This window comes from Homo sapiens, chromosome 5, assembly GCF_000001405.40.
Source record: "Homo sapiens chromosome 5, GRCh38.p14 Primary Assembly".
NCBI lineage: Eukaryota > Metazoa > Chordata > Mammalia > Primates > Hominidae > Homo > Homo sapiens.
Genome location: NC_000005.10, coordinates 129,620,229 through 129,638,398, shown reverse-complemented (window position 1 = coordinate 129,638,398; position 18,170 = coordinate 129,620,229). Strand labels below are relative to the sequence as shown.

Genomic DNA, 18,170 nt, shown 5'->3' with positions numbered 1-18,170 from the left:
TCAAACAGAAAATAGACATTATAATTAAGTCTATGCCAATACACTTGAAAAGTATATGAAACTGAAAAATAGAAACTAAAAATTTACTAAAGTGAAACCAAGAAGAAATAGAAAAGGTGAACAATTCTATAATCACAGAATAGTTAAGCCTGTTAAAAATCTTCCCACAAAAATACACCTGTCCAGAGACTAACACTCTTTCAAGGAACTTAGATTCTCAACACAGAGAAACTTTCTAGAGAACAGAAAAAGAGAGCATCACTTCTTCTTTTTAACTTTTCCTTTAGGATTAGTGGTACATATGAAGATTTGTGACACAGGTAAACATGTTTCCTAGGGGGTTACTGAACAGATTATTTCATCACCCAGGTATTAAGCCCAGTACCCAATCATTACCTTTTCTGCTCCTTTCCCTCCTCCCACCCTCCCCATTCAAGTAGGCCCCAGGGTCTGTTGTTTCCTTCTCTGTGTTCCTAAGTTCGTATCATTTAGTGCCCACTTGTAAGTGAGAACATGTGGTAGTTGGTTTGTTGTTGTTCTTGTTGTTTTGGAGACAGAGTCTCGCTCTTGTCACCCAGGCTGGAGTGCAGTAGCACAATCATCTTGGCTCAATGCAACCTTCACCTCCCGGGTTCAAGCGATTCTCTTGCCTCAGCCACCTAAGTAGCTGGGATCATAGGCACCCGCCACCATGCCCCGCTAATTTTTGTACTTTTAGTAGAGACAGGGTTTTGCCAAGTTGGCCAGGCTGGTCTTGAACTCCTGACCTCAGCTGATCCGCCCGCATCGGCCTCCTAAAGTGCTGGGATTATAGGTGTGAGCCACCGCGCCTGGCATTATTTGGTTTTTTGTTCCCGTGTTAGTTTGCTGAGGATAATAGCCTACAGCTCTATCCATGTCCCTGCACAACTTCTAAAATCTGTGATATCCAAACTAGGAGGGATTTTAAAAGAAAGTAAAAATAGTGATCTACTTCATGTATTAATTTAGAGCTGAGTATGCTAAACAAATTTCAACAGACTGAATCTATCCATGACCAAATTAGGTTTTCTTCCTCAGAATACAGGTAAGTTTGATATTAGGAATTTAATTAATATACTTCGGCACATTAATAACTTAAAATCTATGATTTTTATATCTGTGGATACAAAATATGTGATGCAATTTAACATTCACTTAAAAATCTTAGCAAACTAGTCATTGAAATTAATTTCTGTATAATTAAAGGGCATCTAAGAAAATCTATAGCAAATATGTCAAATATGGCAAGTTTTCTTTTCACATTAGGCACATGGCAAAGATGACATCTTGACATCAGTGTAAGGAGGTGAATTTATGATATATTCAAAGAGGCAAAAAAGAGAAAAAAAAATCTGTCAATCTACACTCCTGAACTCAGCTAAAATTTTATTCAGGTTTGAAGGTTAAAAACAGGCCCTTTCAATGAAACAAACACTGAGTGTTTACCTTCTATAGATCTGCCCCAAAGTTGCTTCTAAATGATGTTCTTTAAGAAAAAGAAATAAGACTTTATAAGAAAGGACGGAAAAGCAATGGTAAGCAAATAGACTGATAAAAATGAGGATAAATCTTAATAAACATTGACTACATAATGTAACACTTATTGGATTTAAACATTAATTATAAACCTTATTTTAGTGGGAAGAAATGCTAGAAATCTAGCTCATTTACATCCTAGAAACTTTATCCTTTAACAGAGGAGATTTGACCACTGTCCACTGAATAAGTTTGACATTCTCTCTTTCACCTCCTCCACTCCACATACATAGCTACTGGCAGAAGTTGAGTGATAGGCATAGAAAGGGAAATGTAACCCATGGACAGCCAATGCATGAAGCAGCAAGCTGCAAGGGACTCTTTCATGGTTACATCAGGAAGTGTTAAAGAAAGGGAATAAAAATAAATTAAAAGAAAGGAGAACTGTTAATATCTATATAATGGAGGCCCTCAAAGAAAAGAAAACAATAAAAAGAAGGAAGAACCTATTTTAAATTTTTAAAGAAAATGATACAGAATTAAGATAAAAAGATTCCCCTTCTGGAATGGTGGATTAATTTCTCAAAAAACCAACCCTCTTGTAGGTATCAACTATAAACTGTGAACAGAATACAAAAAACAACTTCCTGAAGTCTCTGGAGAGTGAACCAAGGCAACATACTTTTTGTTTTAAATTTAACTTTTGGCCAAGCATGGTGGCTTGTGCCTGTAATCCCAGAACTTTGGGAGGCCAGGGCAGGTGGATCACCTGAGGTCAGGAGTTCGAGACCAGCCTAGCTAACACGGTAATACCTTGTCTCTACTAAAAATACAAAAATTAACCAGACGTGGTGGCAGGCACCTATAATTCCACCTACTCAGGAGGCTGGGGAAAGAGAATTGCTTGAACCTGGGAGCTGGAGGTTGCAGTAAGGTGAGATCATGCCACTGCACTCCAACCTGGGCAGCAGAGCAAGACTCTGTCTCAAATAATAAATAAATAAATAAATTGAACGTTTAAGTTCAGGGGTACATGTGCAGGTTTGTTATACCTGAACTTGTGTCATGGGGGTATGATGTATAGTTTATTTCATCACCTAGGTAGTAAGCCTAGAACCCATTAAATATTTTTCCTGATCCTTTCCCTCCTCCCAGCCTCCACCTTCTAATAGGCTCCAATGTGTGTTGTTCCCCTCTGTGTCCATTTAGCTCTCATTTATAAGTGAGAACATGTGGTATTCGGTTTTCTGTTCCTGCATTAGTTTGCTAATAATAATGGCTCCACTTCCATCCATGTTGCTGCAAAAGACATTATCTCATTTTTTATGGCTGCATAGTATTCCATGATGTATATGTTCCACATTTTCTTTATCCAGTCTATCACTGATGAACATTTAGGTTCATTCCATGTCTTTGCTATTGTGAATAGTGCTGCAGTAAACACATACATGCATGTGTCTTTATAACAGAATAACTGATATTCCTTTGGGTATATACCCATTAATGGGATTGCTGGTCAAATGCTATTTCTGTTTTTAGCTCTTTGAGGAATTGCCCCACTGTTTTCCACAATGGTTGAACTAATTTACACTCCCATCAACAGTATATAAGTGTTCCCTTTTCTCCACATCTCATCAGCATCTGTTATTTTTTGACATTTTAATAGTAGCCATTCTGACTAGTGTGAGACAGTATTACATTGTGGTTTTGATTTGCATTTCTCTAGTGATCAGCGATGTTCATATGATTGTTGGCTGCATGTATGTCTTCTTTTGAAGTGTCTGTTAACGTCCTTTGCCCACCTTTTATTGGGGTTGCTTGTTTTTTGCTTGTAAACTTAAGTTTGCTATTGTTGCTGGATATTAGATCTTTGTTAGATTCATAGTTTGCAAAAATTTTCTCCCACTCTGTAGGCTGTCTGTCCACTCTTGGTGGAAACTTGATAGTTTATTTTGCTGTGCACAAGCTCTTTAGTTTAATTAGATCCCATTTCTCTCTCTCTCTCTCTCTTTTATTTTGCTTTTGTTGCAATTGCTTTTGGAGTCTTTGTCATGAAATCTTTGCTTGTTCCTATGTCCAGAATGGTATTGCCTAGTTTGTCTTCCAGGGTTTTTTACAGTTTTGGGTTTTACATGTAAGTATCTAATCCATCTTGAGTTAATTTTTGTGTACGGCCTAAAAAGGGGCCCAGTTTCAATCTTCTGCATATGGCTAGTAAGTTATCCCAGAGCCATTTATTGAACAGGTTTGTCAAAAATAAGATAGTTGTAGGTTTGCAACCTTGTTTCTGGGTTTTCCCTTCTGTTCCATTGGTCTATGTGTCTGTTTTGTCCCAGTATCATGTTGTTTTTAGTACTGTAGCCCTGGAGTATAGTTTGAAGTCAGGTAACATCATGCCTCCAGCTTTGTTATTTTTGCTTGATTGCCTTGGCTATTTGGGCTTGTTTTTGTTTCTATATGATTTTTAAAATAGGTTTTCTAATTCTGTGATGAATATCAATGGTAGTTTAATAGGAATAGCAGTGAATCTATAAATTGCTTTGGGCAGTATGGCCATTTTAACAATACTGATTCTTCCTATACATAAGCATGGAATGTTTTTCCATTTGTGTCATCTCTGATTACTTTGAGCAGTATTTTCTATTTCTGCATGTAGAGATCTTTCACCTCCCTGCTTGGCTGTATTCCTAGGTATTTTATTTTTTGTGCATGGCAATTATGAAAGTGATTGCTTTCAGCAGGCACACTTTTGAGGGAAACCGAAAACACTGGCACAAGGTTAGTTCATCATCTTTGCAGCTTTAACCTGATAGATGCCCACTATTGTGTCCTGACATTAGGTTCCAACTGGAAAAACATATCATCTTATAGACTCACGAAGACAGAAACTGAGGTGGTGAAGGCTGCCATAAACTGAAGGGAGTGTCCTGACATTAGGTGCCAACTGGAAAAACATATCATCTTATAGACTCGTGAAGACGGAAACTGAGGTGGTCAAGGCTGCCATAAACTGAAGGGAGATTTCCAGAGGGAATAGAATTAGAAGAGCTTAAGTCTCCCCTTGGCAACTGACCCATACATACACAACACGCACTACAAATAGCACAGATAAGAGAAAAATGAATTGATCTAAGATATGAGCTGCTGCCTACAATAGATGAGACAAAATTTCCAGTTTAAATCTAATTAATATAATTGCCTGTGAAAACAAAAAACAGTCTTTGAAGGAATATAACAGAATCCAGAGTCTCTACAACAGGGGTCAGCAAACTCTTTCTGTAAATTGCCAAATAGTACATATTTTAGGCTTCTTGGCCAGGTGGTCTCTGTTGCAACTATTCAATACTGCCATTGTAGCTTGAGGGCGGCCATAGAAAATAAATGAAAAAATGTGTGTCACTGTGTTCCAGTAAAACTTTAAGCCATAGTTTGCTCATGTTTGCTCTATAATATAACAACAACATTTCTAGTATAGAAGTAAAAATTACTGGCTATGTAGAATAGCAAAATGCAACCCTTTCTTTAAAAATGTAAATAAACAATTCAAACCTGAGATGACACATGTGTTATGATTTTCATAAAATTTGAAACTGACTCTATGAATATACCTAGTGAGGTAACGGAAATTGGCTTGTAATAAATGAAAAGATATCTCAAGAGAAAAGTTTAAAAAAAGTAAATTGAAACTTTCACTTTAGATGTGAAAAATACAATATGTAAAATTAAAAGTTGACTGAATGGATTTGAGCAGGATGGAAATGATAAAAATTCAGTAAGCTTGAAAATAGTTTAAAGGGAATTACCCACTCTGAAGGAGAAAGGGAAAATATTGAAAAATATGAAAGATTTACAGAAAGCTGTGAGATTATATCAAAAAAATTAATGTGTGTAACTATTCTCAGGAGAGGATGGAGAGGTAGGAAGGTATTTAAAGGAATGATCACTAAAACTTCTTTCCAAATTTGAGAAAAGGCATAGATTTACAAAATCAATAAGTTCAACAATCCTCTAATGGGATAAATATGCAGTAAATTATATGTAGACACATTATAGTCAAGCTTCTGAAAACCAAAGATAAAGAGACTATCTTGCACATAAACAGGGAGAAACAACAGATTACTTACAGGGAAATGACAATCCAAGGGCTATACATTTCTCATCTTAAACTATGGAGAAGAGAAGATAGAGGAAGGTTTCTGAGATGGTAAAAGAAAAAGAAAAAGTCAACCTATAATTTTATATCTAGTGAAAATATATTTCAAAAATTATGATGAAATGAAAATTTTCAGGTGAAAGAAAATTAAGAGAATTTGTCATTAGCAACCCAACTAAAAGACATGGAGAAGGAAAATGAAACCAAAGGAAAACTCCTATCTTCAGGAAGTCATGAAGAACAATGGAAAGGGTAAATATCAAGCTAAAAGTAAAAGACTATTTTTACATTCTTAATCCTTAAAATACATGCAATGTATATTAAGTAAAATGTATACAATTTTATTGTATGGTCTACAATGTACACAGATGCTATATTATATCTATATCTATATATATATATCATGACTATAGTACAGAAAAACTGAATGAGGAAGTCTAAATGAACATATGTGGTTGCATATTCCAATAATTCCAAATGAAATAGTACTATAATAACTCTAAATAGATTCAGAAAAATAGAGAGTTTATATTTTAATCCCTAGAGATGAGTTTGGCAAACTGTGGCCTGGAGACTGGCCAACTGTCTTGCTCATCCCATTACATATTATCTATGGCTGATTTGAGCTAGAGCAGCAGATTTGAGTTGCAACAGAGGCTCTGCTGCTGACAAGCCTAATATATTTACTATCTGGCCCTTTAAATAAAGATGTGTGATCCCAGACCTAGACCCAGATCAGGCCTCTTAAAGAGGTAAAGGATTATAGCTAAAAATGTAATAGATAAAGTAGGATCCTAAAGAGAATTCAAATAATATAAAAGTAAATTAATGGGGATCAGAGGGAAATAAAGAGTTAAAAAATAAATTATAAAATCTAGACCTAAATTCAAACACATTGTTTAATCAATGATTAAACATTAATGAACTACCTCAATTAAAAGGTTATAATTTTTATAACAGATGAATATCAAGACAACTACATGCTTATACTACAAGAGGCTCAGTTGAAATAGTACACAGATACATTTAAACTAAATAAAAGCATAATATACCATGCAAAAAAATAAACACACAAAATCAGATTAATATCAGATATAATAAACTACAATATAAAAAAGTTATACTTCTACCAGTGATAAAGAAGACTTTTTCATAATGAAAAGAAATGCAATAAGAAGACATAATGCATCAAGAAGACATAACAATAATAACTGTATTAGTGTCTTGCAATAAAGCCTTACGAGGTATGAATCAAAATCTGACATAATCGAAGGGAGTAGACAATTGCAGTCATAGTAGGATATTTAAATTCCCCACTTTAGCAATTATTAGAACATCCATACACATAATAAAAGACGATTTGTATAACTCTATTAATAACCTTGACCTAATTAATATTTATGAAACACTGACAACTGTGGAAATGCATTCTGTCAAATGCATATAGAACATTCACCTGGATAGATTATAAATGAGTCTCAATAAATTTAAAGAGATCATGCAGAGTATATTTTTGGATCTAGGAGTGGAAAGTTTGGATCATATAAGAGGTGAATGCTTAAGTGATAAAAAAAAAAAAAAAAAAAAACCTAAAATTTTCCCAAAGTGATTATACTATATTCCCAATAGTGGTATGTGAATTCTGATTGCTCTGTATTATCAGCAACAATTTAGTTTTTTCAATTCTTTAAACTTAAGACATTGCAATGTATATGCAAATGTAGGTCTTTATGGTTTTAATTTGCATTTCTTGATACAATATTAATGATGTTAAGCATCCTTTAAGGAGTTTGTTGGCTATCTGCATATCTTCATTTCTGAATTGTCTGTTGAAATGTTTTGCCCATTTTATTGTATTGCTTGGTCTTTTATTACTATTACAGGGATTATATATTTTGGACAACAACCCTTTGTCAGATATGCCTATTATAAATATTTTCACCCATTCTGTGGCTTACCTTTTCATTGTCTTAACAGAGTTTTCCTAAGATAAAATAATTTATTTTGATACATTTCAAACAATAATTTTCTGTTTTGTTTTTCTTTTATGGTTCATGCTCCTGGTGTCCTATTAAAAAAAATATTTCCTCTACCTTTTTCCCTGAAGTTTTATAGTTTTGTAGATTCCACATTTAGGTCAATAATACATTTAGGGTTAATTTTATCTTATGATATGATGTAATTTTAAAAGATGAATGTCAAATTGTTCCAGCACAATTTGTTGAAAAGCTTTTATTTACCCATTCAACTGCCTTGTTACTTTTGTTGAAATCAATTGTACACATATGTGAGAGTCTATAATTGGACTCTCTATGGTGTTCCACTGAGGAGTTAAGTCTCTCCTTTCGTCAACACCACATTGTCTTCATTACTGCAGCTTTGTAAGTCTTAAATCATGCAGTTTATGTCCTCCAACTATTTCATGTTAAGCCTTTTTTAAATCCAAATTCTTGTTGCCTCTGGAATTTTGCAATGCCAAATTACAGAGACTAGGCCTTCTATAGTTCTTCATAATATTAGGTTGGTGCAAACATAATTGCGGTTTCTGCCATTACTTTATTTCAATTCCAGTCTGTGCATTGGCTTCAAGGAGAGGTTTGAGAGAGTCCTACAAACTTGGATGAATCAAGTAGATACAGGAGAAATGTAAAACTGGAACTTTCCATGTCAATATTTAAAGTAATCATATGATTCAGTTATACTATAAACTTTTCTATCCATTTAATACATATGCAATTCATAGTGTGCCTAGTTCACAAAGACAGGATCTTAAGTTTCCTGGAGGTCTTCAGTTTTATCACACTTCCTTCCTTTTCAGAAAAAGGTTAACTCCTACGGGGCCACTTCTTACTATTTCTAGGGAAAAATCCTTCCATACCTCTGTATTTTTAGCCAGTCTAAGTAATTTCAGGAAGCTATTACAATGACTTGATGCAGTTGGAGCTGGCTCAGCCACAAGATGCCAGATGGCCTAAAGGTACCCAGCACCAATTGCTTAGGACTCAGGAACAAAGCCATCCAAGAAGTCAGCCATTAATTCTGCAAATTTATGCAGAAGAGTGAGCTATTATTGCCTGTGATCAACATTTTTCACCAGAATCTCTACATCTGTGCCTTTAAACACTTTGCAGATGTAAGTTGTTATCCTAAGGGTAAATTTATATCATTAATTAGATCAGCATTATGCAATAATGCTGAGCCTCTAGTGTTTGTGTTTAAATATCTGTTTATAAGTATGGAAGTGATACATCTAATTTAGATGCTATGGCCCAACTGCCTTTGTCAGATTCAGAGTTACCTTGTTTTTAAGATTTTGCCTGAAACATACATATTGAAGGTTGCTGTGAACCCTCACACTACAAATCTTGATGTTTATTTGTAATTGATTAGAAATGAGCTGGTCATAAGGATGCCTAATTGAATTATGAATAAGCTGTGAAACAAGATACCTGCCCTATAGCATAGGTAGGCTTTTATGTAGTCATTGCATTAATATTCTAAAAGGTTATCATGTTATCTACATGAGTGAAAAATTTAGAATCAGTACTCCATTATTCAATCGATTCACTTATTCATCAAATATTTATTGAGCACTTATTTGGGTGCTAGAGATACAATGACAAAAGGGCTGACAACTCTGCTAATGTTAAGGAGCTTACCATATAGGAGATTTGTTTTGTATAGCACTTAGATGACAGACTGCCAGGTAGGGTGACTCCACATAGAGCCAATTGAAGGTGTATATGTATGTAGCAGAACTACAGTCATGCTTTGCTTAATGATGGGAATACATTTTGAGAAATGTGTCATTAGGCAATGTAGTCATTGTGTGAACATTGTTGAGTGTACTTACACAAGCCTAAATGATATAGCGTACTACACACCTAGGCTATATGGTGTATCCCATTGTTTCTAAGCTACAAACCTGTATAGCATGTTACCTTACTGTATATTGTAGGCAACTGTAAAACAATCCTAAGTATTTGTGCATCTAAACATAGAAATGTTACAGTAAAAATACGGACTATAATCTTATAAGACCATTGTTGTATATGTGGTCCATTGACTGAAATGTCATTACATAGTGCACAACTATTTTCAGTCTTCTACAGTTATAACTATTTTCTGCTATACTTTTAAGTTATACTTCCTGACACCTTATATATTCAGGCATTCCCATATAGCTTCAAATAATGATGTGTCAAACCCTTTGGGAAAAAATATCAACCGTCTAATCTCAGCCTTCATTTTGCTCCACTTGTCTTCAGCTTTAAAAATTTTTTTTTATACTTTAATTTTAAGTTCAGGGGTATATTACAGGTTTGCTATATAGGTAAACTCATGTCACAGGGGTTTGTTGTACAGATGATTTCATCACCCACGTACTAAGCCTAGTACTCAATAGTTATTTTTTTCTGATCCTCTCCCTCCTCCCACCCTCCAGCCTTCAGTAGGCCCCAGTGTCTATTGTTCCCTTCTTTGTGTTCATGAGTTCTTATTATTTAGCTCCCAATTATCAGTGAGAACAAATGGTATTTGGTTTTTTGTTCCTGCATAAGTTTGCTAAGGATAATGGCCTCCACCTCCATCCATGTTCCTGCAAAAGACACGGTCTCATTCTTTTTTATTGCTGCATAGTATTCCATAGTGTATATGTACCACATTTTCTTTATCCAAACTGTCACTACTGGGCATTTAGGTTAATTCTATGTCTTTGCTATTGTGAACAGTGCTGCAGTGAACATCCACATGCATGTGTCTTTATAGTAGAATGATTTATATTGCTTTGGGTATATACTCAGTAATGGGATTGCTGGGTTGAATGGTAATTATGGGTAGTTTTTTTTTTAGCTCTTTGAGGAATTGCCACACTGCTTTCCACAATGGTGGAACTAATTTACACTCCCATTAACAGTGTATAAGTCTTCCCTTTTCTCTGCAACCTCACCAGCATCTGTTATTTTTTGATTTTCTAATAATAGCCATTCTGACTGGTGTGAGATGTTATCTCATTGTCGTTTTGATATGTATTTATCTAATCATCAGTGTTACTGACCTTTTTTAATATGCTTGTTGGCTGCATGTCTTTTGGAAAGTGTCGGTTCTTGTTCTTTGCCCACTTTTTAATGGGGTCGGTTTTTCCTTTTAAATTTGTTTAAGTTCCTCCCATTCTGTAGGTTGTCTCTTTACTCTATTGATGGTTTCTTTTGCTGTGCAGAGCTCTTAAGTTTAATTAGGTCCCATTTGTCAAATTTTATTTTTGTGGAAATTCCTTTTGGAATCTTTGTCATGAAATCTTTGCTCATTCCTATGTCCAGACCAGTATTGCCTAGGTTGTTTTCCAGGGTTTTTACAGTTTTAGGTTTTACATTTAAGTCTTCAGCTTTTGATACAGCTGATCAATCTCTCTTTCAAAAATATCCTCCTCATATTACCTCCAAGATCTTAATTTGCTTTGGTTCTATTCCTACCTCAATATACTTCGGCATTTTATTTCTTCTTTCTCCTCATTTTCCTAAACTCTAAATATTGCATTGACCTGGGTCTTAGTCCTTGAAACTTTTCTAACTCACTTGCAATTGTTATTTAGTATCATGTCCCCAATATCTTATACTTCTTAATGACTTCCAAATATATATCATGGACCTGCTTACATTCCTACTTGGATGTGTAATGGGCATCTCACGACATGACCCACAATGAATTCCAGGGCATTTTGCATTCTGTTTTCTCTTGCTGTATTCCTCCCAAGATAAATGCATAGCTTGTTCTCCCACTTTCTTCAGATCTCTAAACAAATGTCACCTTTCTAGGAAACTTTCCCAGGTCACCTTATAAGAAATAACACCATCCTAACCATCTACCTTGGTAGTACTTCCTGTTTTACCTGAGTTTATATTTCTTCTAAACAATTATCATCAACTAACATATTAGATATGCATTTGCTTATATTTCCTCCAACTAAAATGTAAGTTCCATGGAGGTAGGATCTTTGATTCCTGCTGTATTATTTGTGCTTCATACAGTGCCTGGAAAGTAGTTGGAACTTAATAAATATTTGTCAAATCAATGACTAAATATGTAAATTATCTTTTCCATGGTTCTAGCTACCTATCTATCGTCTATTAGGTTACTACACTTTACATGCTGTACTGATTTGGGACTGGAGTATAAGAGTGGAGAGAAAATAAAAAGGAGAACATTTCTGGAAACCTTAAACCTAAAACTTTATTAGCACAATGTGTAGTTTTAAAACAAGGCAACATCCTAGGATACTGAGAAACAGATTTAAAAAACCTAAATAAACAATCATATTTTCAGAGATCAAGGAAAAAATCTGTGCAGGTAGGTTATTGGGAAATAATCATATAAATAGAGCAAATAGTTTAGCAAAATGAATCAATTAAGATACTGGTTAAAACTGATAGTATAGGTGCTATAGGAGACAAAAAAATTAGTTTAAATATGAGATCTGATCTAAGGGTTTTTCCATAGAGAAGACAATATAGCATATAAAGAAGTTTGAGTTCCATAGGAGACTGGAGAGCATCTGATTTTTGGGATTTAGACATAATCTGAGTTTGGATCTAGCATTCTCTGTTAATAGGTATAAGAACTTCAAAGTATTATTTAACTGCTCTAGACCTCAAATTGTTGATTTGTAAAATAGGACTAGACAATATGGTATTTAATGGTTATAAGAATCAAATTATGGTTTTAGGTCTAACATTTAAGTCTTTAATCCATCTTGAATTAATTTTAAATGTTAGACCTAAAACCATAAAAACCCTAGAAGAAAACCTAGGTAATACCATTCAGGACATAGGCATGGGCAAGGACTTCAGGACTAAAACACCAAAAGCAATGGCAACAAAAGCCAAAATAGACAAATGGGATCTAATTAAACTAAAGAGCTTCTGCACAGCAAAAGAAACTACCATCAGAGTGAACAGGCAACCTACAGAATGGGAGAAAATTTTTGCAATCTACCCATCTGACAAAGGTATAATATCCAGAATCTACAAAGAACTTAAACAAATTTACAAGAAAAAATCAAACAACCCCATTAAAAAGTGGGCAAAGGATATGACCAGACACTTTTCAAAAGAAGACATTTATGCAGACAGCAGACACATGAAAAAATGCTCATTATCACTGGCCATCAGAGAAATGAAAAACAAAATCAAAACCACAATGAGATACCATCTCACACCAGTTAGAATGGCAATCATTAAAAAGTAAGGAAACAACAGGTGCTGGAGAGAATGTGGAGAAACAGGAATGCTTTTACACTGTTGGTGGGACTGTAAACTAGTTCAACCACTGTGGAAGACAGTGTGGCGATTCCTCAAGGATCTAGAACTAGAAATACCATTTGACACAGTGATCCCATTACTGGGTATATACCTAAAGGATTATAAACCATGCTGCTATAAAGACACATGCACACATATGTTTATTGTGGCACTATTCACAATAGCAAAGACTTGGAACCAACCCAAATGTCCATCAGTGATAGACTGGATTAAGAAAATGTGGCACATATACACCATGGAATACTATGCAGTCATAAAAAGGATGCATTCATTTCCTTTGTAGCTACATGGATGAAGCTGGAAACCATCATTCTGAGCAAACTATTGCAAGGTCAGAAAACCAAACAACCCATGTTCTCACTCATAGGTCGAAATTGAACAATGAGAACACTTGGACAGAGGGCGGGGAAAATATCATACACCAGGGCCTGTTGTGGGGTGGGGGGATGGGGGAAGGACAGCATTAGGAGAAATACCTAATGTAAATGATGAGTTAATGGGTGCAGCAAACCAACATGGCACATGTATACATATGTAACAAACCTGCACATTGTGCACATGTACCCTAGAACTTCAAGTATAATAAAAAAAGAAAAAAGTGTCAAATTACATCATAAAATAAATAATTAAACACATTATGTGGAAGATATTCAGAGGTCAAAACATTGTAGAATGGCACTAGCAAAATTTAATTGCATGTGATATATTAAAATAATTTCTAAAAGCTTGTAAAATAGTATTTATGGAAAAGAATCTACAATTTAACAGAATCGTGTGTAGTTGATCATCTACTGAGCTTTTACAGTAGGAATGCTTTATAAAATATGAACATTTTGGATGAACTGATCCATTGATCAGTTCTATCAATTCTCTATACCACATGAACTGAAACTGTCTCCTGTGCAATGCTCCAGTGACAGTGACCACAAAGAGCCTATTTTGTTGCCTAAAATAATAGTAACTTCAGCCTGTAAAAGTGTCTGCCCACAAACCCAAACCTTTGTACCTCAAAATCTTTCATTTTACCATGAAGATTTAAGAAAGAGGATTGTGACCAGACTTTTGATTGTCTAAAGACTCAGAGGTGAAAGCAGAGTGGAGGTTAGTAGATGAGGTCAGAGAGGTACCGGAGACAGACCTTACAGAACCAATGTCATAATTGTCACACACGATGTGGAGTTCCAAGGATCCATGACTGTGCCACATGTAAACCCTTTGGAATTAGATCACAATTACATAGCAACACCATTTCCTTTCAAGCTCCATAGTCCGTACAGCCTTTTTTTTTTTTTTTTTTTTTTTTTTTGAGACTGAGCCTCACTCTGTAGTCCAGGCCGGAGTGCAGTGGCGCGTTCTCGGCTCACTGCAAGCTCCACCTCCCAGGTTCACACCATTCTCCTGCCTCAGCCTCCTGAGTAGCTGGGACTACAGGTGCCCGCCACCATGCCCAGCTAATTTTTTTTTTTTTATATTTTTAGGAGAGATGGGGTTTCACCGTGTTAGCCAGGATGGTCTCGATCTCCTGACCTCGTGATCCGCCCGTCTCGGCCTCCCAAAGTGCTGGGATTACAGGTGTGAGCCACCTCGCCTGGTCCATACAGCCTTTTACACATCACATCTGATGCAGCTCCAACTCCATACATTCACTCATTTTAATTCTAAATCATTTGTTCACTGGATATTTCACTTACTCTGTGCCAGTCCCTAGGCTAGATGCTGGAGAAACTCACTCTGCCCTCATGCAGCTTACATACTGGTGGGTGAAACTGATCAAAAGCAATTAATAAACAAATAAGTGCACAACTCTTTTAATAAGAACCACAAACCAAAGAGAGCATTCAATAAATTATAATGTCATATGCTTTGTTCGTTATAAAGCATCTTAATTATGCTGACAGTTACCCAAAACAGCATTATCCTCAACAAAGCCAAACTCCTTTGAGGCATTCACAGAAACTGTGGCTGGGTAAAATAGGCTATGTTTCAGCGATACTTAACCAATTTACTCTCAGTGTGGTTATCAGTTTATTCCTGAAGTACAATGTGTATGTGTGTGTGTTAGGAAGAGGCGAGAGGAGATGGGCAGATAGGGGATGGGCAGCAGGAAAGAAAAAAAAAGGTTACTAGAGCTTAAACTCTTCCATCAGTTAAGAAGGTCATTTTGCTTCATCCTTTAGATTTTAAGGACCTAACACTACTGTTCTCTCTGAGTAATTACTGACTACTGGAATATTAATACATAAACACTGCTTTACCATTATACATTTTCCCTTTTCTTCCAGTTTATGTAGAAATGTACTCTCTTAATTTTTGTTCCTATAAAAGATACTTCTAAAAATTTATTTTCAGGATTAAAATGTATAGTTCCTCCTCCACAATTACATGTTCATATTATTGCATTTTTATCAATTATATTTTCATATCGCATTTTTACCCATTTCCATATAAGAAAATACAGTTGGCCCTCCCCGTTTGTAGTTTCCACATCCAGGGATCCAACCAACCACAGATAAAAACAAATTTAAAAAAAAGAACAATACAACAATATAAATAATACAAATAATAAAATAACATAGTATAATAATTACATAGCATTTACAATGTATCAAGTTCTGTAAGTAATCTAGGGATGATTTAAAGTATTTGGGAGGATGTGGGTAGGTTATATGCAAATACTACATTATTTTTCATAAGGGACTTTAGCAGCTGGGAGTTTTGGTATCTGCTCAGGGAACAGGATGTGGGTACTGAAACCAATTCCTGCAGATAATGGAGAGAAAACTGTATGGGATTTAAAATAGAAGCATTGAACTGACGTAATAAAAATACTTCCCTGATATCAATGTAATTTTCAAAGTAGAAATTATTAGGTCTTTCTTTATTCACTTTGATTAAATGCTCACATCTTATTTCTATCGCTTCCAAAGTATAAGAAAAAAATGCACAAACCTTTTCTTAGAAAATCCTTCTTTTATATATTGGGGTGCTTTTGATCCACAAACCCTAAAATAATGTTACCTTCTCCTACCAATCAATACTTCTAAACAATGAATGAACGCACAAAATCCCCACCTGGATCTTTACCTGCATCTCCTGACAAAAAGAAGCCAATGGCCCAAAAAGGATCTGGCATTGTTCATCAGCAGTGTATGTCATCCCTGGCAGCTTGGAGGGAACCATCACAGAATTGACACTCTGCGGATTTGTTTGTAGCAAGCAGTTACTGGCCTTTGACCTGGCAATAGGCAGGTATGTGTAAACTTTTGAATTTAATGTAAAAAGCTGATATGATTGGTTAGCATACAACAAGAAACACTTTAATAATATCAAAAATATATCTCTAAGCTCTTCCATTGAATACTCATAGAAATTATTCTATATGTCAAAAATCATTTATTTACAATGAAGATAATCGTAATAAATAATTTTCAAGTTAAAAGAACTTTATGGTGTACAAAACACATTCATATGAATTAACTCAGCTGATCTACATAACATTGTGAAGTGGGTGTTATTTTATGCATTTAATAGGTATACAGGCTCAGAGTCAGAGAGTAACTTGCCCAAAAGTAGTATGTGAATATAAGATATCAGCTATATTTGGGGATTTAAAGAATGTATGGAAAGCATCCTCAGGTGAATATTAACAGTGTAGATATATTTGTGCTTGACATTGTAATACAACTTTGTATACAACTCTGTAATATATTTTAAAGTGGTATTTGATGTCATAGGAGTCCTGATTCATGTGAAGGCAGCCATACAAAATCATGCATGTTCCTTAGGAACTCATTAGGGCCTACAGAAGGGCTGCTGATGCAGCTACTGATGGTGTGTCTGAAATATCACATGCTCTGAGTGCTCTTCTCTAGACTGTTATGACAAACAGCATGCACAGAATATATTGTACATATAGCCATTTAATAGAAAAATGGGCTTAACTATTTAAAGGATATACAAAAGTGAATAAAGTTCATCTGTGTAGTGAGTTTAGCAAGCTAGGTGTTCCTGTATTTCTCACTAAGACTTGTTTTGGATACCTTAAACATCTCACTAACTACTTTGCATATTGCTTACTGCTTCAGGTGATCCTTCTATAATTATAGAAATAAGTGCTTTAAAATGAACAAGTGCTTTAAAATGAAAATGAGAATAACAGTAATATTTTTCATTTACTTTTCGAACAAGACAGAAGCTAAGTGTTACTGCCACTGAACATGGAAAGGGCTATGATAATGGTGGAAACTATTTATTAATGAAAAAACATTAGAAGTGTAGATGTATTACAAACGAAAAGTGAAGATTTTGTTAGAGGGGCCCTGATCTTCGTGATAATAGACGTGCTGGGTGATGAACAGTGTGAATATTTCCACTGGGCAAAATTGAAAAGGCAATTAAATACTGTGACAGATTTTTAAAATCATGATAACAATTTTTCAATCTTACAAATAATCTTAACTGTCCTTTTTGAAAAATGTAGAAATTAAAAAGCAGGGGGTTAAATAACATGTCCCAAACTACACCATGAGTTAATGGAAAAGCCAGGATTGGAACCAAGTACCTTCAGTTTTACTCTGGTGGCCTTTCCACTTTGCCACACTGGCTTCTCTATTTGTAAAAAGAAACAGCACACATAATCATTCACAAGGCAAAAACAATAAGTGACCTCCATACCTGAGAAATCTTTCCAAATCTTCCTTGCTACATCGAGACCATGAAACGTCACCAAGATTCTGTCCTTTAATCCATTCACCAGACATGATATGAAGACCATCAGCACACGATGGGTGGTCATTGTCATGGTTAATGCCCATGCTGATTTGGAATATAATAAAATTTTAAAATTTACACTAAGTAAATGTTACTTGTTAACTTTTTATAACTGCAGTTAAATAACGGTTAAAATACTTAAAATACTGGGGGCCAAATTTGTTTTAAGGAAATTAGTTTCAAAATAAAATTAGATTTCAGATTAAGTTAACTTTTTAAATTTTGTTACCCCAATTTAAGGTAAATATTTTTATTTAATAAAAAACATTTCCCTAATCAACCTATAAAATGACATGTTTAGGTCCTTTATACGGAAATGACCTACAGATATATTCTTTGCATAATAGTATGTATGAAACTCAGAAATAATACATTTATGTTTAACCACACTAGATTCTTGCTGTTGCCTGAATCAAATTTTCTTCAAAATTTGA

The 18,170-nt window shown here is 34.9% G+C and overlaps 1 protein-coding gene across 12 annotated transcripts in view; it reads right to left on the bottom strand.

Annotated features, from left to right (window-relative positions):
- The window catches only part of ADAMTS19 (ADAM metallopeptidase with thrombospondin type 1 motif 19), a 278,386-nt gene that overhangs the window by 100,285 nt on the left and 159,931 nt on the right, over positions 1-18,170 (bottom strand). For 6 of the 12 annotated variants that reach the window (XR_007058587.1, XM_047416877.1, NM_133638.6 and 3 more), the window contains 2 exons: positions 17,641-17,781; positions 16,051-16,201 (listed from right to left, as the gene is read on the bottom strand). Coding sequence is in view for 11 of the 12 variants with exons in the window: in XM_047416877.1 (XP_047272833.1) it covers positions 16,051-16,201; positions 17,641-17,781 (292 nt within the window). In the remaining variant the exon portion in view is untranslated. Of the gene's footprint in view, positions 1-16,038; positions 16,202-17,640; positions 17,782-18,170 lie in introns of all 12 variants that reach the window. The other 6 variants (XM_047416876.1, XM_047416878.1, XM_011543246.3 and 3 more) reach the window with 1 other exon arrangement.